At 47.3% G+C, this 22,321-nt stretch overlaps 1 protein-coding gene and 1 long non-coding RNA gene across 4 annotated transcripts in view, besides 1 other annotated feature; one reads left to right on the forward strand and one right to left on the reverse strand.

Annotated features, from left to right (window-relative positions):
- The window catches only part of CACNG2 (calcium voltage-gated channel auxiliary subunit gamma 2), a 142,896-nt gene extending 127,120 nt beyond the window's left edge, over positions 1-15,776 (reverse strand). For 2 of the 3 annotated variants that reach the window (NR_166440.1, NM_006078.5), the window contains exon 1: positions 14,390-15,776. Coding sequence is in view for 2 of the 3 variants with exons in the window: in NM_006078.5 (NP_006069.1) it covers positions 14,390-14,600 (211 nt within the window). In the remaining variant the exon portion in view is untranslated. The remainder of the gene's footprint in view (positions 1-14,389) is intronic. The other variant, NM_001379051.1, reaches the window with a different exon arrangement.
- CACNG2-DT (CACNG2 divergent transcript) overlaps positions 15,900-22,321 on the forward strand; it is a 63,214-nt gene continuing 56,792 nt past the window's right edge. Inside the window, exon 1 of the long non-coding RNA NR_134623.1 lies at positions 15,900-16,016. This is a non-coding gene — a long non-coding RNA (CACNG2 divergent transcript). The remainder of the gene's footprint in view (positions 16,017-22,321) is intronic.
- Positions 20,646-20,789: a silencer, noted in NCBI's record as "fragment chr22:37104667-37104810 (GRCh37/hg19 assembly coordinates)". NCBI's record gives its function as "represses an EF-1alpha promoter that drives an FKBP-Casp9 reporter gene in an ReSE screen in K562 erythroleukemia cells {active_cell/tissue: K562}" and the evidence as "EXISTENCE:reporter gene assay evidence [ECO:0000049][PMID:32094911]".

The raw sequence follows: 22,321 nt of genomic DNA on the forward strand, positions 1-22,321 counted from the left end.
CATCAGATAATAGGTTTTTGTTGTTTTAAGCACTAAGTTCGTGTAATTTATTACAGCAGCAATAGGAAACATACACTCCCACTGGTATATAATGGGTAAAATGAGAATCCTAACACCCATGTTACAGAGTGCAGTGCAGCCAGGGAAGGTGACAGACACATGGTCCTCAGCCCAGGGCCCAGCACACAGGAGACTCTCAAACAGTAGCTCTCGGGGAAAATCACTCTTTCTTCTTATATCTCTGGTCACCTCATTTAACCTTAAATGATAATGTTAGCTGAAATGGGCTGGGTGCAGTGGCTCACGCCCTGTAATCCCAGCACTTTGGGAGATGGAGGTGAGAGGATCGATTGAGCCCAGAAATTTGAGACCAGGCTTGACAACACAGCAAGGTCCCATCTCTTAAAAAAAAAATTAGCTCAGTGTGGTAGTGCACACTTGTAGTCCCAGCTACTCATGATGCTGAGGTGGGAGGATTGCTTGAACCCAACAGTTTGAGGCTGCAGTGAGCCATGATTGCACCACTGCATTACAGCCTGGGCGACAGAGTGAGACCCTGTCTCAAAAAAAAAAAAAAAAAAAAAGTAGCTGAAATGAAATGGACTGATAGAGGTGCTGGGACTGAACTAGTGGCTTTCCCAGATCTATGCACTCTGAATTTATTTGGTGCCTGGGAAGAAGGTGGTTATCCTCATGGTAGAGGCAAAGAAACAGGCCCAGCCCGCCAGTGGCAGGGGTGGGATTTAGATCCTCATCTGCCAGAACCTGCTGGCCATGCTCTGAAGCCTTGCTTCTCAAACTGTGGTCTGCAGACCTGTGGCATCAGCCTCACCTGAGCACCAGAAATGGAGTCTCAGCCCCCACCTGGAGCCCCAAATCAGTATCCATCTCAGCAATATCCCCAGGTGATCTGTGTACACATTAAAGTTTTGAGGGTGCTGCTCTAGACCAAGTGCTCCACTCTCTCCTTGACCTCATCCTTTTGGGGACAGTCTTGGGTGATTTCATTTTCTTCATCTGTTTTGGGCCTATCTCCTTTGTTCTACTGTTGGCGAACTCTTATTCGTCCTGCAGAACCCACTGCAGAGGGCCTTTAGGACCTCTTTCCTGACCTCCTCAAATAAAGTTGCTCTCTTTTCTCGCCTTTACTTGTGCCTTCATCAAGTCCCTGAGCTCACTGGTAACGGTTTTGATACCTGCCTGTCTATTCTAGGCTTTGGTCTCCTTCAGAGCAGGGGCGTGTCTTCTGACACCCAAAAAACATTTACTAAGCACCTACTGTGTGCCAGGCACTGCTCTCAGTCCCTGGGCTATGGCAGGTAAATAACACAGACAAGGACCCTGGTCTCATGGAACTCACATTCCAATTAGAAATAATACATACAGTAGACAAACAAATTCAGAGAACGTAAAATCCAACGAAGAAAATAAAATCGGCAAGAGAGACTGGGAAGAGGAAGGGCAGACTCCCCTCGGCAGCTGATTTGTTTCTGTGATCTGTGAACTAGCACAGAGTCTGGCTTACATTAAACATTCAAAAATTATCAAGTTAATTCAGGTCTGACCATTCTTTGAGATTCAAACGACAGGTCTTTAAGTTAATATTCTTTCTGGGCAATTACTGGACAATTTTTCCTACCCAGAAAATGGAAATTTCTCTCTTCTCCATGAAGCTTTCCAAGGTAGAAATGAGAAGTAGTAAATCTCTCGGTCCTGCAGCAGGTCTCCCTCCCATCTCTCTGCAGCCAGCACCAACAGCGTGGCCTGTCGCCTTGGCACCTGGCATTCAGTTATTGAATAAAGCATGCCACGTGGCTGGCCACCACAACAGGGCATGCTTCCCGAACTGGGGTCAAGGTCAGAAAATGTCAGCCTCTGAAAGGAAGCTGCCAGGGTGACCTAAAATGGGTGAGCGTCTCTCTCTTTAAAAGCAACAACTCACCCTGGGGACGTTCTTTAAAAGGGAGTAGATGAGGCTAGCCTTCCACCTGAATCTTATCAACAGGCCCTGCTCAGGAATGTGGGATATTTATGCATTTATTTACAGATGCACGGCTTTCTTCCCTCTGTCTCTGTGAGCTGCTACGCCCTGTCTGCGCTGGTGTCATTTTAGTTCTGTCTTCAGCTGTCAAAAGACAAAGACTCTACCTCTAATTTGCCATAGGCGTAGAGGAGGATTTGCAAACTTCGACGCCTACAGAGGCCGGGAAACGGCCACGCACGGTGGAGCGGAGCAGCCATGTAAGCCACGTAAGACACTCGGGAGCAGTGGGGACTCAGGGGGAAGTGCGAGGCACCTGCCGCACGGAAGAGACATCTGCTGCCCAGCTCTTGCTGATGGCTGCCAAGCAGGGATAGGGCCCAGGGTTACAAAAATCTTTTTTTTTCCCCCCAAGGAACCAAAAATGTGGATTTTTATGGGAAAGTTTTCAATTTGTAGAACATTTGAGGGCCAAGCACAACTCGCTTGCCAATCACCCTTTGCAACTGCTAGCGTCATAAATAATAAACACACCACTGGTAATGACAGCACCCGACATTTGTCAAGTGCTCACTGTGTGCCGGCACCTCGGTAAGCACTCTACGTGGAGCATCCCACCAAAATTTCACAAGCAATTCAGGAGGGAGACAAAATGATTATCCCCATTTTACACGTGAAAAATAGACTTAGGCTATATTTCTTGTCCAAGGGAACATAGCTCATAAGTGACAGGGGTGGGATTTGAACCCAGGCTGTCAGATGTGAGCTGACATGAACTCCAGGCCTCACTGGGAAAGAATGCATCCTGATGATGATGATGATGATGACGATGATGGGAAAAATCTGAGATTAAATAGGCATCCTAATCCCAGATGTCAAGCTTTGTGCTATGTCTTTTTTCTATATTCACTCACTCATTCATTCAACAAACATTGAGCAATCTCACCGTATAATCATTGCTTTGTGATGGGGCCTCTGCCCAATCTCATCCCTCATTACTAACACCTTCCCCTATCTCCTCTCCCATACCTTGTTCTCCCGCAATAGTATAAACCTCAAGTGGTCCCCTAAACACTTCATGCTTGTTCACACCTCTTCCTAGGACAGCACCTGGCAATGGTAGTAACTTGGTAAATTTTGTTGAAGAAATAGATGAGGGAACTCATGATCTAGAGGAAGACACAGGAATGGAAACAAGCAACATAAAAGATATTAGATGCTGGGATCTGGAGGAAGCAGACCCCAGGTGGGAGGGAGCAGGGTGGGAGGCAGCAGAGAGAGGTGACAACTTCACTAAGTCCTGGAGACAAAGTAGGATGTGGCTGGGAAAGGGGCCTTTGGGCAGAAGGCAGGGGGAGAGGGAGTATCTGTATTCACTTCCGCACCTTCACAAACTGCAAGGAGACTGATGTCCTTGCATTTTGAGGGAACTTCTGTTTTCAAAGCAGTGAGGAAATCTGGCAGTCCCTTCACTATTCCCCCACCCTGCCCTGGATAAGCTCAAAATGCTGAAGACTTCATCATGCAAGGGAGTACAAACAGCATTTCTGTTCAGCATTGCCCTCAACATCTGAAAGAAGTTTATTTATAGACTTGGGAGCCAAGAGAAAATGGAAGATATAATTAGTGTCATAGAAGGCTGTACACAGGTTTTGGGGTTGGACAGGCTTGGGTTGGAATCCCAGCTCTGCCATTTGCTGTGTGACCTGGGGCAAGTTACTTAACATCTCTGAGCCTCTTAAGATGGAGTTAATGGGTATCACAGCACATATCTTCAGAATTGTGAAGATTAAATAAGAGCCTCTGGAGAGCATCTAAAACAGTGCTTAGCACAAAGGAAACACTCAACGAATGACTACCTATTATTATTATTGTTACTATTAGTATTGAAGTGATGGCAGAACCGTTGTTTTTCAGGATTACCTACTCTGCAAACATGGTGGAGGAAAATGGAGACAAGAGCTATCAACACTAGCGAAAATTCAGGAAGGAGAAAGGATAACATGTATCCCTTATCAGAGATAGAGAGATCCAGGTTGGGGGAAAATATGATAGAAAAAAGTGCATACATCCTTTAAGCAGAGAAAATGAGACAGGAGAGCCATGGGGCAAAACTGGGATAAGAATTGGTCTAGGGGTCAGCAGTGGCTGGTCTCCAGTGAGTTTTGCCTGGTGCAAGGTCAGAGAGGCTGGCACTGGGGCATTGAAGTTGCATGATGGAGGGGGTGGCAAGACAACGGGTGGATTCTTCCTACAACGAGGCTCCAGCAACCATGCACCTGGGATCTTGTACCTGATCCCTGGCATGCTTGTTAGCCGAAGGAAGGCTACCCAAGGTCAAAGAAGTTCAGGAGAGAGTGAATGAATATAGTGTCAGTAAGGAAGTGGGACGGCACTCCGCAAAGGCAAACCCAGGGTTGCTAAGTCAGTGCCTCTGGGCCCGGCAGTAACTAACAAGGATTGCAATGGAGAGAAAAGATGACTGCTTCCCAGCAGGCAGTGACTTATCAGCTTTTATGGCAAAGCTGGGGCCCAGGAGGCACCACAGAGGACCTCCCAGGTTGCAGGGGAAACACCTGCTTGTTACCAAGCGTTTTTCAGCATGTGGTTTCAGCCAAGCTTAGGAGAAAAGACTGGTCAATGGATGCCTGGAGTTTTTGTTTAAAAGCCCATCTCCTTCACTAGGTGGGCAACTCCCAGAGGCCAGGCCCCATCTCTTTATTTGTTCATTTGACACCTAGCTCCCAAGCACTTTCTTAGTGCCAGAAATTAGACAAGACTTTGGGGAGATGGTGATGGACAAGGCAGACATGGTCCCTGCCCTCATGGGGCTTCCAGTCTTACAGGGGAACTCAGGTCAGAAACATGCATGTGCTAAAAAAATAAAAATACAAAGTTAAAAAAGAAGCCAGGCGCAGTGGCTCATGCCTATAATCCCAGCACTTTGGAAGGCCGAGGTGGGTGGATCACCTGAGGTCAGGAGTCCAAGACCAGCCTGGCCAACATGGCAAAACCCCGTCTCTACTAAAAATACAAAAATTAGATAAGCATGGTGGTGTGCGCCTGTAATCCCAGCTACTCGGGAGGCTGAGGCATAAGAATTGCTTTAACCCAGCAGACGGAGGCTGCAGTGAGCCAAGATTGCACCACTGCACTCCAGCCTGGGGAACAGAGCGAGACTCTGTCTAAAAAAAAGAAAAAAGGGGACAGGACTTGGGGGGCTACTGTAGACAGGGTGGTCAGGAAGCCTCCTTGAGAAGGTGATATTTGAATAGAGACTTTCTGTAGCCACATATTTGTAATGGGAGGGACTAGCACATAGTATGTGTTCAGTCATGCTTGTTATGCTGGGAAGTGAGAAGAGAAGGGGAGACTGGACGTCCCTCTATTGTACATCACTTACAATCTCCCTTCTCCCCTTTACTCTCTGTTTACTATGACTAACTTAGTGCAAGTCACCTGGTCACTGCAACCACCTTCTCACCTGCTCAGCAAGTCTCATCAGCCCTGACCCACTCCTCATCCCATCCATTAAGCCCTCAACAACCAGTGACCTAGACAGTGGAAAAGCCAGTTGTGATGATCCTACCTGGCTTCCTACCTTTCTGGGCTTCCCTTTTCTTTCATGCTGAAACACAAATGTCTCTGTGAGGCATTTCTGTGCCTTTGGGGTCACATCTGTGCTGCCTTCCAGCCTCACCCCTTTCTGCTTTCTACCTTCCATGGGACCATTGGCATTGCCAATGCCCAACATATGGGCATCTGTTTCTGCACATGCTGTTCCTGCTGTCTGAAGTGCTCTTTCTTTCCTTAGCTTGCTCACCCATACTCTGCATCCTTGAGAACTCAGTCCTCCCTGGCATCCCTTCCTCCCCAATCCCTGTGCTCCCAGAATCCCCTGTGCGTACATTTCATGCTGTGCAGTTATCATTGTCTGTTCACTGGGGTATCTCCTCTACTAGACTGAATTCCTTGAGGGCACAGATTGAGTCTTTCAACTCTATCCTAGAGTCCCACACAGTACCTGGCAAATACTCGGGAACAGTTGTTGGAAAAGAGCAACCATCACCCTTTTCCTCCTCAAGCAAGTTGCTGGTAAGGCCACATTCTGCTCTATGCTGCTTCCTGAGTCACGGGGCAGGCACCAGCTGCATGCTGGAGAAATCCTCTGGGCTTTCTTAGCACCCTGCCTACGTTTCTCCCTGCAGCAAGATAGCTGACCGTCTTCTTTTGATTCTAAGGCTCGTATTTTAAGTTGCAAGATTTTTGAAATTAGAGTGTATTTTATAATTAATGTGGAACATTAAATTTGTCCCCCTCTCCCCTGAAGGCTGTTTTTGGTAGACAGGTCATTTTACAATTAGCGGTGTCTTAGAACTGAGAGAATATGGAACTGGGAGAATAAAGCCTTTTATGTACCCAGGAGAAAGGACTGGGGGCTGGCTAGGCCATCGCAGCTCACCAGCAATCCCACAGCTAGTGACATGCATTTCCTGGCATTGGGGAGCACAGTTAACATCTCTTATTCCTATTTTCAAAAAATCTGGTGTTATAACTGAGCCTCATTCAAATTGCAGCTGAAATCCTCGATAATTCTAACTGATTGTAAAATATGCCAAGAATCTCTCTGAATTTGTGGGAGGGTAATAAGGAGAGGTGGCACTAGGGTATGGGGCTGTCTCAAATGTTTAGGATGAAACAGAGCCATTTTGCAAGATTCTTATTCTTTAGGGTCCCCTGCTAGGACTCCCCTGGAGGGTCTTGGAAGCAGGCTTAGGAACTTGTTCACCACTGCCTGCCTAGGTTTCACAAAGGGTGGGCACCCACTGTCAACACATTTTTAAATTTTGTTGATTGAAAGTTATTTGAGTCTATTTCTACCCTTCTCTGAACTGTCATGGGTAGCTGAGAAGCCTAAGAAACCACTGTATTCAGATCGGCGTGGAAGCAAAAGCAGCATGGCAAAGCAGGAAAAGAGCCAGGCACAGAGGCTCACTCCTGTACTCCCAGCACTTTGGGAGGCTCAGGTCAGAGGATCACTGGAGGTCAGGAGTTCGAGACCAGCCTGGCAAACATAGTGACACCTCATCTCTACAAGAAACTTAAAAATGAGCCCGGTGTGGTGGTTTGCGCCTGTCTTCTCAGCTACTTCAAAGACTGGGGCGGGAGGATCACTCGAGCCCTCGAGTTCAAGGCTGCAGTGAGCTATGATCATGCCACTGCACTTTAGCCTGGGTGAAAGAGTGAGACTCTGTCTCTTAAAAAAAGAAAGAAAGAAAGGAAGGAAAAAAAGGAAACAGCTGCTCTAATCCTTACAACAACTATAAAGGCAGGTATTTTTATCCCCATTCTGTAGGTGAGTATAAGTCACAGAGACAGAATTGACTAACCCAAGGTCACACAGCTTATAAGCAAGAAGCCAAAAAACATAACAGAACAGTACCCTTTAACAAGACTAACAAAGCCCTTTGGGTCCTGACCACTTCCACTTGCCCCTCCCACCCCATCCAGCATCACCACCCTGCCACTCCCCCACCCCCACCCCTCTCAGTTTCCTATCCACCCTGGCCTTCTCTTGGTACTTGTCTCATTCCTTCCTTGCCTATCTCTGGACATGCTGCCCTCCGATCTGGAATGTCCTTTCTTCCTCTCTTCACCTGGATTAACTCCTATTCATCCTTCAGGTCTTCACTCCCATCTCACCTCCTCAGGGAAGCCTTCCCTGGTTAGCTAGAATCCCAGTATTATGAGCTCACGTCTCATGCATCTCCTGTGAATAGCACTTATCAGAGCTGTAATTTATATACATGTGAGATTATGTGAATTGGGATTCAAATAATGTGAATCGGGGTTCAACAAGGGCAGTGACCCTGAAGGACGCTGCTTCCTATGATGTTCTCACCTCATGGCCTAGTGCTTGGCGCTTTACAGGGGCTCATGAAAGATTTCACCAATAAAATAAATGAGTGAAGGAATTGTCCCATCTATGGCTGCGAACTAACCTGGAAACGTACAATGCCTATTGCGTTTGAATATGGGTTTTTGACCAAAATACTTATATTTGAGGTTAAAAGGAGACATTGCATTTTGATGAAATATTTCTTGCATTATCAGTCTGGATTTATATCTTCTCCTCCCCTCAACCTGAAAGCGAACACTCAAGGGAAGCTCTCCCCCAGGATCTGTGACAGACACTTTAGATGGTGTGGAGGGAGGAATGTGTGGCCAGGATCTATTTAGAGGACTTGCACCCCCGGCGCTTTCTTCTCAGGCATTTGTTTTCTCTCCAAGCACTTTTTGTTTCCATTATCTTTTTTACTATTGTCCTTTATGCGTTCAGTCTCTCTTCCTCTCTCTCTTTCTCTCCATCTCTCTCTCCCTCCTTCCATCCCTCCCTCTTTTCTCTCACTCCTTCCTCTGTATTGAGTTCATTATTTATTTTTTAGAATGTTAAAAAAATTAATGCTTTGGCCACCACAGCTCACCATGCAGGAAGAATAATCCTTCGGCAGTGTGAAGGGACCACCCTTTCTGAACACCCACACTGTAGCAGGCAGTAGTCATGGGTTCATTCATTAACAAGGTAGATTGACTTCTTGCACTGTCATGATTGCTGTGGGCACAGCAGTGAGCAGAACAGATGAAAATCCCTGCCCTCATGGAGCTGACAGTCTAGTGGTGAGAGACAGACACCACATATAATGAGTGGAGGACAGAGCGTGCTACAAGGTGGTAAGTACTCTGTAAAAATAAAACAGCAAAGGGGGATGGATGAGGAGTGCAGGTGGAGGTTGTTGATTGCAATTTCAAATAAGGTGATCTGAGAAAAGGGAGGACAGACATCCATTCATTTAATCCCTAAGCCAGCAACTGCCCTTCGAGGAGGAGATTATGCCTCCTTTTTTTCCAGATAAGGAAGCTGAGGGTTAGAGGGGTTGAGTAACTTGCCCCAGATCACACAAGGCTGCAGTGCAGGAAGTGAACCCAGGTCTGTGTGGCATCAATTCTTTCAACGAGACCACAAAAACTTCATCTGAAAACTTCTGTGAGTTACGTAGGATGTAAATTTGCTATTTTCTGAAAATGCTTGAAAACATAAACCCATGGATCATTTACACTGGGGACAGCTCCAAAATGAAAGGACAAAATAGAGGCACATGGTGAGTTTGGCCTGAAGTTCAGCATTAGAAATTGACTGCTGCATTTCCTTAGACTCAGCTACTCAGCTCACAGGGGGCGTGGACCAGGGCACAGTCGTCGTCACCCTGAAAGGTGCAAAGCAGCTCAAGATGGCAGCTAGGAGGGAGGGGTATGCAGGGGAGTCACTGGGTTGGAACTCAGGCTTCTTGAGATGCTCAGGTTGAGTGCTCAGTGAGGGATGCTCAACAAGACACAGACCAGATGTAACAGTGCTTATTAGTGGATATAAGCGGGAGGCCACCGTGGCTTGGGTCTACTGCCCAGAGCACTCTGGAGGCTTGCAGAGGGCACATGATAGGGGGACAATGTAGCCCGATGAGTCATAAGGGGCCTGGATTCAAGTTCTGGCTCTGCCACTGCCTGCCATGTGACTTTGGTGTGTTGTTCATTCCTGTGTGCCTCATTCAGCTCACCTGGAAAGAGGAAGCAAGGGCAGGGAGTGTGGTGTGAACTGACCAGGACTCCAGGTAGAGGAGCCGGGTTTGGCTAACACGGTGAGAATGGCTAGGAATGCAAGGCCTGGCTGTATGGAAAAGCTGCTGGTTAGAACCCAAGCCTGAGGGAAAGTTGTCAGGGTTCTTTGAATTGGATGGGAGGTTTGTGAAAGAGTAGAAGGTTCTGCTGGAGCTAAACAGGGGTGGGCCATTCTAAGGCCTGCTCTCTGCTCAGAGGTGTCTGTTCTGGGGAATATTAAGATCACAGTGAACTTTGGTATACTTTAGAAGCAGAAAAGGGAAGAAAATCAATTGGATATTTTTTTTCTTTCCTATAGAGGCTGTGTGCATGGATCATTTTTCTTTACCTTTCCTTGAATAATTTGCCTTCACTGTAGCCAATTAGGAGCTGTGCAGCCTCAATGACTGACTCCTTTTGAATTCACTTATCTTATAATAGTGGATTCATGACTCATTATTATTCTTATAAAAAAAGAAGTTCCAGGAAGAACAAACAAATCATTCTGACTTCCGCACCCCCTTCTCTCCCTCTCTCCTTTCTCTCCCTCTCTTCTTCGCCCTCTCTCCCCACTCTCCTCCCTCTTTCTCTCTCTCTCGATCACTTGGTTGTCACATATCCTCATGATGTTTGCATTCATCTCAGTAATTTTAAGAATTTCTGCATCAATCCATTGATAAATATTTCTTATGCGCTTCCTGTGTGCAAAGTACCTAAAGAAAGTCAAATTATCTTGGGAATTATGGAGCAATACTTGCACAGTGTGAAGGCCTGTTAGTACCTTCCAGATTCAGCCCACCCATGCTAGAAGGCAAGCGTGTCTGGGAAAGGCTATTGGCTTTCCTAAAATAAAAGATGAATCCTTTTTTTTTCCTGCAGAATAAGAGAGCCATGGCTGAGCCGAGCGTGGAGCACTGTATCACCTCGCAGGCCATCATGACTTGGAAAAGATTTGGGACCATTGAGAGAGACACTTCTTGCTCAAAGAGAACAAGGATGTAGAGTGGCTGGCAGAGCCCCTGTGAGCAAGCAGCCTGGTGGGGGCAAGAAAGGAGAAGCCACTGATGGATGAGGAGCTCAGATATTCAGCAGAGGGAATTTGACAGCCTGGACAGAGAGTAAGATTTCTGTTCTGCCTCACAGTAAGGCAAAACGGACAGAGGGGGAGAGAAAACACGGAGTCTGCTTCCTCTACAGGCCACATTATGCCCACTGTTGGCTTCACCTCTGAAGGTCTGGAAATCCTTTGGGGGAGCCATGGAGCCAAGACAGAGGGGAGGAAGGCATAGGAGAGAATAAGCACCAAGAGTGAATTTCTTGCTGTCCCTGGAGACGATGTTTCCTTTAGGTGACAACAGAGGCTAATATCCTGAGCAGCAAGCTACCAGGCAGCCTAGAGACACCTTGCTTGAACAAGCTGTTTTCGCATCTTGTTGTAGATTTCATTGAACTCTTCTCTGAGAGGGCCAATTCATCTTTCCATGCAGAGACTCTTAATTCAGCTTTCTTGAAAAGTTCATGAACTTCTGTCTCTCTCCACCTACCTGTATCCACATACACACTGTCATCTCCCACCCACGCTCCTCGAATCCCCCTAAGGACACCAGCCTGCTGGGGATTTCAAGTTCACACACACACACACACACACACACACACACACACACACAGACTTTTCAGTCTGCAGAGGAAGAAAATAAGGGTGGTGGTTTTTTCCCTGGCCCTTCTCCCTCTCCCCCTGTGCCTGTCTCTAACAGGTGGTCATGTATCTTCTCATTCTTCAGCAGACTAGTTAATTTCAAAAGCAGCCTTAGAGGCAAGGACATTTTTTTTTTCTATTCTTATTTTCATCAAGAGGTGAATGAAAATAATCACCTCAGGAGACAAAAAGCCCTAATGAAAACCAGACAGCAAAAGAGATCAGAGGAAGACAGGGTTGTTTTTCATCTGGAGTCATTAGCGGCATCTTAGAAAGAAGATGTGAAATCTGTTCGCAATTTCTCCAGATTGGGCAGAAAACACAGATCAAGTGGTTAAGGGGTGGGGGGTGGGGGGATCTTTTTTGAAAGTCCAATTTTTCACACAAAAGAAACACAAGTTGGGGGAACCTCAAGCACTGACAACTTGATCTCCATAGAGAGCGACCCCATTCTGAGTGCTCATAAAAGCAAGCACACTGACAGCCCCCAAGGACTGTCTACGCCAACTTCCAGAAACAACTGAACTTACAGCCTTTGGAGATCAGTGCAGTCTTTGAAAATAAGAGGCTTACAATCTCCAAACTACTTCCTAAGTCGCCAAGGCCCAACTTCCTAAGGTGGTCCCAGGCCTGCAAAGCTCCAATTGACAGAGGCTTTGGAAATTAAAGGCCCGGTCAAAAGCGGGCCCGGAGCTCCAGCCCTTCCTGCCCTGGCCATGGCTACAAGTGGAAAGGGAGTATCATCCCTGAGGAGAGCCTGGCAGGGCCCCACAGTACTGCCCGGGGGTAGTGAGGCCCCGCTGGGGAGAATGGCCCAACCCACAGTGCCTGTGCGCATCGCACAATCCTTGGGAAGTGTTGCAATTCTAACCCTTTACAGACAACTCAGGGAGAGAGGGAGTGTGCAGCTTGGAGAGAAAGTTAAAGGGGGTGGGCAGCACATTTGGGGGTGTGGACATCAAACAGATGGAATTTTAATCAAAATACTTAAGCCTTTTTAATGCACGAGTGATACAAAGCTACCTCTAGTCTGTTTGCCTTCTGGGAATTACACAATATTTAAAAGATCACAATATTAAGAATTTGGAAATAAAACACAGATTTAGAAAAGTATATTTATGCCAACCCACCCATTTCTGGGTGTATTTATGGTAAAACAATGTCTTGTCTCTCCTCTAGTCTCTTGGCTACCTATCTCCCTCCATCCATCTAACTAAAATCCAAGGAAAGCAAATTGCCACTATGATCATTTCCCTAAAGCGGTCCTCATTCACTTTGCTTTTCTTCTCTTTCGGAATAAAAGTCTGTCATAAATGTTTAATTAAATGGAAGTCTTTCCACTGTTAATGACTAGCTGTATGAAAGGCTTTTCATTTTTTTAAGGAGGGGGCGTGTGTGTGCATGTGTTTAAAACAGTCCCTATTAATTTCTTGATATTGATTTTCTGGCTGGGGAAGAGCATATAGTATTCAGCATAGAGCTCCTCTGCAGAATATGTTAAAGACAGCGGTTTGGATTGAGAAAGGGCACCAAATGCAGTATGCGTCAAATAGACCATCGCTCAATGAAGTCACTTAGCTATTCAAAACATGTTCAGCCATCACTCAACCGTTTGCACCAAGAATGTTGGGAGGGGGGCATGGGATTTGTGCTCTTTCCCAGATGTAATCATTTCCGAAAGTGTGGCTTTTGCTCAGTTTGGGTTAGACCCTGGGGCCACATCAGTTTCTCTCTCACCCATCCATTTCCCTCTCTTCTCCCCCATCTCCTAGTCTCAACTCCCTGCATCACCATCCCATGTCGAGCTTAACAAACAATCCTGCAGTCCTTGCTTCCCGACGCTGCCTCAAACGGCCCCCAGTATTGGTTCATAACAGAAGCAAAACACATAAGCCTCTTTTTTTCCCCCACATGGAAGCATATGTATCTCTCTGTGCACGTCTATCTATGGGTGGCTGTAGCTTGCACACACAGACATATATAGCCATTCAAATGCAGTCCCTCATACTAAAGTCTGTTGCCAAATGCAGGTTGGATGACCCACAGGAGTTTTTTTTTCTGTGCTTATTAATGTGTCCCAGAAGTACATGCCTTCATCCATAGCGTGATCCCCCAGCCTTTACACCGTGGCGGCTCCTGTGCCCACAGCACAGACACACATGCCTCAACACTCCGCAAGATCAAGGCAAAGAGCTGACACCCCCACTCCCCCCTCAACCTCCCCATGCCCTCCCCTCCCTCCCTCCCTGCCTGCCTGCACAATGTCTGATTCTCAAGCCGGCTGCAATGCTGACTCTACTAGCTTCTGGCTGACAGACATGTCACTCTGTGGAAGCCTAACCCGCAAGTGAATTGCTGTTTATTAGAACTTAGGCTTGTTTCCTGTGAGAGACGTATGTATTTTTAGACTTTGTAAACGTTAAAATACACAAATACACACACGCAGCCAGCCACCTCGAGTGATATGTGTGGCTCATAGACATTACGAAATGCTCTTGAACTCAGCTTGAGATCCTGGAATAATTAGGATTTACCAAATAAGGATTCTTAGAAACAACATATTCTTTTTTAAATAAGGAGATTTGCAGATGGTGGTGTGTCTAGGACTTTTGGGGAGTAAGGAGAAGAGGAGGGAAAAGGGAAGAGCATTTTTGAATTCTTCATTGCGAAAAGAGAAACAGCATACACAGAAGCAATTATTTTACCCTCTCATAGATGGCAATGCTAAATCGGATGGTAAATCCTAATGACTCCAAAGCAGGCAGAACACCTTTGACTTTTAGAGACAATCTCTTGTCGTTTTCACCATGTCATAGATTATTCCAATGAGGATGTTTGAGGGGATGAGGGGGTGGCGGAGGCGAGGGAGTAGAGTATGGGTTTTGCTTATTGATTTTCTTTCCTCTGAAACTAACCCAACCAACCTTGATTGGTGGTGGAAGGAGTGAACTAAGAAAATGGTGGAATGTAAAGGGGACTTATTTGGAGGAGGGTGGGGAGGGGGGAGTGAAAGGGGAGGGGTGGGGTGGAGAGGGGGGAGGAGATGGGAAGTCAAGTACCTTCTAGGCAGCAGGTTCTCCATAATCCGGAATGGGTCATAACTTCCTCGTTCTTTTTGCTGGTTTCATTCTCACTGACACTTTTGGTCTTGCAAACCCCTCTGGAGTAGAGCCAATAGTCGGTTCCCACAGCTATGGTCATCAGGCTGAAGGCAGCGAAAGCACCAACGGTGGTTAAAAGCATTTGAACACCTCGATCAAACAGCCCCATAATTCTTCATTATATAAACACCCAACCGACTTCTGGTTCTCGGGAGAGTGTGTGTGAGGGTGCAAGTACTAAAGCCAAAAAAAATAAATAAAAATAAAAATTATTCCACTACTAATATAATGGATATATGTATGAATAGAGAATATGGAGAGTTATAAAAAAAGGGAGGTAAGAAAGCTCACGGAAAAGAGTGTAAATTATAAAGATCACACGGGAAGAGGCTTGCCTTTTGAGATCAGAAACTGTTCCAGTTGCAGTGTTTTTTTTTTAAAAAGAAAAGGAAAAAAAAAATAAAAAGACACCCCCCACCCCCCCAAGTGAGATGCCTTAATCTCTTTTTCTAAAATTCTGGTCTCCAGTTTCCATATGTGATAGTTAATTTGGAGATGGCTTCCACAGTGAACCAGGGAACAGCCGAATTCTCAACACCATTTCTCATGGTCGGGACCTAGACAGTTAGAGACTGTGAGAGCCGAGATGCAACCTTCGGTCTTCGTTCTCGGCTCTGCGGCCTGCGCCATGAAAATCCTTTGCTTCGCCAGTTCTCTTCCTTGGGGGGTCTCGGCGCTTTCGTTTCAGACCAGACTTCCCAGTATTCTGTAAGCCCTTGAGCTCAGCTGCACAGGTGCGGGGGTCTCGCTTTCCATGGTTTTGCCCGGGCAGCGGCGGCGGCGGCGGCGGCGGCGGCAGGGCGGGCAGGCGCGGCGGCGGCGGCGGCAGCAGGACGAGCAGCGGCGGCGGTTATTGTTGTTGGTGGCGGGGGTAGTGTTGGCGAAGTGGGGGAGAGAGGGGGTTTCTCCTGGAGAATCGAGGCGGATTTCCCTCCCCCTATCTGCAAAGCTCCTGGAAACGAGGGAGCCGGCGTCTTGCTGCAGGGTGGGCCGCGCGCCTGCCCCCCACTCGCTACCGGCTGGGCGCCCGCGGAGGCGCTCCCACCTACTGCATTACGGGTGGTGCTGAACCGGACAGCTCCCTGCGCCGCCCGCTCCGCGCGCTCCCCGGCTGGCTCCCAGGGCCGCCCGCCAGGAGGGGGGCGCTGGCCAGAGTCCTCCCTCCCCGGGGCAGCAAGGCCAGCGCAGAGCGGGGGCCGCCTTTCCTCTTTTTACCCCTCTCCCAAATCCTAAAATGAGCGCTCTCCTGGGCTCCCGGAGCTTAGAGGAAGGCGTAGCTAGAGATAGCTCGCGCTCTCTCTCTCTCTCTCTCTCTCTCTCTCTCTCTCTCTCTTTCTCTCTCTCTCTCTCTCTCTCTCTCCCCCCTTCCCTCCCCCCTTGGTGTTTCTTCCAGCTCAGCCTCCTTCTCATTCCATCTCTACGTGCCCAGAGCTTCAAATACAACCCTCCCATCACAGTCAGACGGGCACAAAACTTCAACCAGCCGTTTCTCTGCCTGGAAGCGGCGAACATGTAACCTGGACGGGTAATTACAAACACGTCTTTATGTGTTTTTTAAATCATTGTTTTCACTTTGCTTTGCTGGGGATTTGTTTTATTTTGTTGGTCCGTTAGATGTATCTTCTTTCGGTTTTCCTCTCTCTTCTCTTTGTCTCTCTCTGGCTTACCAGGGGGTGTGCATTGCTCTGTGTCTCTCTGTAGTTTTCCGTGAAATTCCAAATCTTGCTTCTACAAGCAGACATTTTGGGAAGATTATTCGTGGAAAAGGGTGCAAAAGGGCGACTCGTAGCTGGGGCTTGGGCAATGATTTTCATTGCAAGGATAAACATGTTCTCAGGGGAAGTGGGTGAAATGTGAATCCTTCTAAGTATCCTATGTCATTCATAAACTGGTTGGGAAGAGATAAAAAATCTTCCTTCCATGAACACTGGAACACCGAAACCCTCCCCTCTTTCTCAGAAGAATCATTGTTTGTGGGTTAATTACAGTGTCACCTTTCATTTCTCTTATGTGCAACTTTTCCTTAACGTGACCTCTGGTAGAAAGAAGCACATTAATTCCTGCTGCTACGGATTACATTTTTTTCTCTGATCACTTTTATGGTTAAGTGAGTAAGAGCACATGAGGCATGAGATGGGTTCATGTTTTTGATATTTTGTGTGTGTGTGTGTTGCGGGGGGGACCCTGGAGAGGATGTGAGTATGATGAGTCTATTGAGGCAGGGGGAGTTGAGAGGTTTCAATCCCATAATTCAATTATTCAGTACTTTCTTCTCTCTCCCTCTACTTTTTTTCTTGAGATTATTTGCTTGACATCTTTCTCAGTGGTCTGGTGATTATCAGAGGTATATAAAAGATGAGTGAATTAAAAACAGTCTTTCTTTGGTGTAAAGTCCATTGCCTAACTTCCTTCGCTCAGGTCAGAGTTGGTCTGCAGGTATGACCAGTGTATTTTTTTTGACATAGAAAAACTACCTGTTTCTTCGCCCAGCACAAAACTTCCTTTCTCCCACTCTGTTCTTTTCTTAGAAGGGAAAGGCTCCCATGAGGGGCAATTGCTGTGCTTCTGGTATCTGGGAGAGGGTCCTGGTGTCTGGAGAACAGAACCAAGATTTCCTCAACCTCTGCTAAGGTACCTTTGGGGTACAGCAAGAGCTATATTTGCAGGCTGAAGACTTCTCCACTTTGGTTTCTTGTCCTGTGAAGATGGGGATGGGTACAGGAATGGAGAGGGCTAATCTGCTGATCCCATACAGCAGGGAACCTAGCAAGTTCAGCCAGTGGCTCAGGTGGCTGATTTTCTTCTGTCCTTGAAGCAAAGGTGAGGGGCAGGCAACAAGTCCTCCTCTGAGATAGGCTAAGCTTTTGGGGGGAGTGGAGAGAAGGTTGGGGGTAGTCACATGAGCCAAAGAGCCTTGCCCTCACTTATTGCTGTCACCTTGGTTGTCTTTGACCTGTCCAAAAATCCCTTTAGACTGCAGATAGAGCCATTCTTCTCATCTCTCTCCCCCTTTCAGACCAACCCCTGAAGGTTTTGCTCAAAAGAAATCAGTAACAGAGGCTCAGAAGCTTCTGTTTGTCCACAGAATCTGCTAACATCTTAGCCACTGACAACGGCTGCAGCTTTAGCAGCATTTGATTAATCTTCTGGCCAGATGATCATTGAGAAAAGGGAAAGGGGTGGGGGAGGAAAGCAACAGCTTTTAGGCTGCCAGCATGGACAGTGCAGAGACTACTGGAGACAGAATGGGCCTGGGGCACAGCTTGACTCTGCTACTCAGTAATGGCATAGCTCCAAACAAGTTAAGTTCCTAGAGCCTCAGTCTTACCATATGTTAAATGGGCAGTTTAGCACCTACCTGTTCCTTTCTGAAGTTCTTCCCAGCTACTGCCAAGCCACCTATCCTATTCAGACCTCCACCATCGCACGTATAGCTCATAATTGTGTATGTGTTGTCTCTTTCACTTATTTGAAACCTCTTTGAGGTCAACAGCTGTGTCTTGTTCACTGTTATATCTTTGGGACCTGGAGTATAGCTTTATATATAGTAGATACTTGATGAACAATGGCTGGAGTGATCACAGTAAGGATTAAATTGTAGACGTGAAGTGCCTGACACATAGTATGCACTCAATAAGTGTGGGTTTTCTCTCATTTCTCCTCCCCTCTTTTACATCCAAATTGGCCTCCTCCTCCTTCTCCTCCTCCTCCTCTCCTCCTCCTCCTCCTCCTTCTTCTTCTCCTTCTTCTTTTTCTTCCTCTTCTTCTTCTTCTTCTTCTTCTTCTTCTTCTTCTTTCTTCCTCTTCTTCCTCTTCTTCCTCATGGGGTCTCCTTGTATCACCCAGGCTGGAGTGCAGTGGCATGATCTTGGCTCACCCACACCCTCGCCTCCTGGGTTCAAGTGATTCTCCTGTCTCAGCCTCCCGAGTGACTGGGATTACAGGTGCCTGCCACCTTGCCCAGCCAATTTTTGGAATTTTTAGTACAGCCAGGATTTCACCATGTTGGCTAGGCTGGTCTTGAAGTCCTGACCTCAGTCCTGACCTCAGTCAGCCCTCCTTGGACTCCCAAAATGGGCTGGGATTACAGGCGTGAGCCACCGTGCCCGGCCTCCAGCCTCTGTTTCTATATGGTTCCTGTACCACACCCCTCCCCTTCCCAACCTAGTTCTTCTCCTTAGGTCCCTTCTGCTCACCATGCAAGGCTACCTGGGAAGAGCTGGCTTGGTACAAGCCCTGTTGAATGGTTGGGACACACCAGGCATACTTAGTACTTAGTAGCTGCTAAATGGATGCTCTTAGGGGAGCAGCTTTGTATGCCTGCATTTGGTTACTTGGGAAGGGCTTAGAGGAAATTAGCTGAAATGCCACAGACCTATTTTGAGCTGCTTCTTTGATGTAGTGAAAATAACGTGGGATTTTAGTGCAGCAGACCTGGCCTTGAAGCACAAGGTTGCCATTTCCTCACATTTGACCTTGGACAGTCATTTAACCTCTCTGAAATTTGTCTCTTCATCTGTCTAGGAGGACCACAGATACGAGCATTATGGTGTGATTGTCAGTGTTACATGTTAATAGCATGTGAAAAGCTAACATTTGATGGGCATTTGCTATGTGCCAGGAACTGACCTAAGCTAAATCCCACAATGATCCTATGAGGTAGGTGCCATCATTATTCCCATTTTACAGATGAGGAAAACTGAGTCACATAATGGTTTAAGTATTTGGCATAAGGTTCCCCAGACAGTAAGTGGCAGAGCTGGGAGTCTAGTCCAGCAGCTTGGCTTGAGAGCCTCTGTCTTAACTGCTGTGTCTTGACCCAAGATATGAGCTTTCTGAGTAATGGTATTGCACTGAGGCTATTTACTCCTCATCCACAGATTTGCCAGGCATTTGTGGAGTAACTCCTAGGAGCCAGGCATTTTCACACAGATTCTCACACATAACTCCCCAACAATCCTGCAAATGCATATTAATAACTTTTCCTATAGGGAGAGTAAACAGAGGCTCAGAGAGGTCATCTATCAAGTTGCAAGGTCATATTTCAAGTAAATGTAACAGCAGATATTTGAACACTTTGCACTGCTTCAAGTTCTACTTCCTACAGGTCCAGAGTTTATTCATTCAAAGAATTGAGCACCCACTGTGTGTGACATACCATGCTAATTCCTAGTGATGGTGATCAGGACAAACGTAGTCCCTGCATCCAAGAACCTACAGACAAGCAGGAGGAGTATACAGATGAAGAACGACCACATCGAAGTAAAGAAAATAATACAAAGGATATTGTGAGGCCATGGGGCAGGGAGACCAAACTCAACCTTAGGGGCTGAAGGACATCTTCCCTGAGGACAGGATATTTAAACTGACATGTAGGAATGAGAAAGAGGTACCTAGGCCAAGCTGGGGGTGGTTAGAGGGTGCAAGGGAAGCTGAGAAGAGGAACATTTCAGGCTGGGAGAGTAGTTTGTGCAAAGGTTCAGAAGTGTGAGTAAGATGATTGGCCAGTTTTGGGGGAAAAATACTAAGCATGGCCGATCCTAAGACAATGATAGGAAATGTGTTAGGCCAAGCACCTGGAGACCATGGAGGGGAGGTTGGAGGATGAGCAACAACCTGGAAGAAGCTGGTGGGATATGGAAGGAGAGAACCAACCCTGGAGGCAGGAAGACACTGGGAGACAGGAAGGCAATTGCTGCTGAGCTCTAAGCAAGAAGTGATGGTGGCTTGGACCACCACAATGGCAATGGGATGGGGAAAAGTGAAGGTAATCGGGGTATTTGGGAAGAAATTGATGACTACTGGTGTCCATTACTAAGATGGGCAACTGTGAGGCAGGAGCAGGTTGGGGTGTGTGTGTGGGGCAGGGGATGATGCAGGAAGGTGGGGAAAGCCAAGAATTCTGCTTTGGCCGTGTATCTAGTTTTGCTACGTTCTATTACCTCTTCACTCCCTGCTCCCAGCCTATATCTTCTTGGCAAGTGAATTAATTAATTAGCAATGTAAAGAACTCATGAAAGAAGAGATTTGGGCTGTTCACATTGTATTTCCAACACTTGGAACACAGCCTAGCACACAGTAGGTGTTCAATCAAAATGAATATTTTTCTTGCTATAAAATTTCAAATGCATGTCTTCTCTGTGTCAGGCCCTGTGCTGAGGTACAAGGGATGAAGATGGGATTAAAATATCATAATCAGGGAGGATTGGAAAGTACATAGCTGACCCAGGGCATGCCAACCAGCCTGGGAGAGGAGTGGGTGTCTGGCATTCCCCACTGCGTGTGCCCACAGTCCCTGTGTTCATCCTCTTGTGGCACTTCCATGTTTTGAGTTGCTGTTTTGTGTCTGAACTCGTCTGGCGCATCAGTTCTCACAGCTGTCGGTTCCCACAGCTAAGCAAGCCTGCTCTGCTCTCTAGGGCTACAGAGCCAGTACGTAGTAGGTCTGCAATGCTTATTTGATGAATAAATGAACATAATGAAGGCAAGGGCTGTGGAAGTCCAGGGCAGGAAGCATTCATTTCTGTCTTGCAGTGTCTCAGAAGGCTTTGGGGATAAGCTGACCCTCAAAGACCAGGAGAAAAGATCACAACTGGTGAAGGAACAGAGGAGGGCATTCCAAGCATGGCAATCACACATACAAGTGCAAAGAGGCATGAAGCCGCACGAGGGACTTCAAGGAGGTTGGTGTGACTGATGGGGGTGGACAGGAAAGCTGGGGCCCAATCCAGAGAGACTGCTGTGCTTGGGGTTAGGGACCATCCATCGGCATTGCTGTCCTGGGGGCCCTCGTCTTGCCATAAGCAAACTGGGAAGAGAACAGGCTGTGCCATCAGAAGGCCCTCGGTTTGAATCTCAGCTCTCTGCAGCTTATGCTTCATGACCTTAGGCAGCGATTTAACCCCTCTGAGCCTCAGCTCTTCCTCACTTGTAAATAGGGACCTAGTTTGTTCTTCTTGTAGGCCCTTTGCACTTGCTGCCTCCCCTGCAGGAATGTTTGTTCAGGTCTTAGCTTCCATATCACCTCCAGGGCAGCAGTGCTGGTCACTCTGGATGACACTGGCCTGCTTTGCTTTCATGATCACAGCCTCACATTCTCTTGTTTATCATCTGAAATCTCTTCCTGCCCACCCACCTCCCCCAGGACATCAGATGATATCTATCTTGTTCATTGCAGTATCCCCAGTGCCTAGAAAGTGCCTGGAACAGCATAAATGCTCAGGGAATATTTTTTGAATGTATGAATAAGGTTATGGTTGTTAGGATTAAGCAAGGGAAACCCTATTTACGTATTTGGAAGATAGGAGAAGCAGGTCTCTAGAAGCCCCTGAATGTTAGTGGGTGAGTGGAACTTGGGGAAATGAGGGTACCCTGAGTTGATGATGGGGTGTGTGCAGGAGTGAGGCAGAGTGAGGGTCAGACTTGACCTCCCCTGGGGGAGTGGCACTGGCCTGGTGCCACCCTCGCTTCTCCCCCAGGGCCTGCTCTTCTCTCTCGGGCCACAGAGTTGCTCAGCCCCATGCTGGAGCACCCACTGCAGAAAGGTCTAGATGGGGCTGTTGGCCCCGGGGCTGGGAGGGAAGGAGATGTAATGAGATGGCAGGTTTTACTCCTTACATCTGGGAACTGCCCAGAAAACCTCAGGGAGCCCCAGGATCTGATGCCAAAGGAGGCTGGGGTGGTGGGCAGAGCAGGGCTGACCAAGCTTAGAAAGTGGGATGTGTTGAAGGGGAGTGGTTAGCTCTGAGCCTGGTAAAAACAGAAAGCAGAAACCCTGGGTATAGCCATGTCCAGAACAAGAATCCCCACAGAGAAGTCACTTTCCCACCC

This window comes from Homo sapiens, chromosome 22, assembly GCF_000001405.40.
Source record: "Homo sapiens chromosome 22, GRCh38.p14 Primary Assembly".
Lineage (NCBI taxonomy): Eukaryota > Metazoa > Chordata > Mammalia > Primates > Hominidae > Homo > Homo sapiens.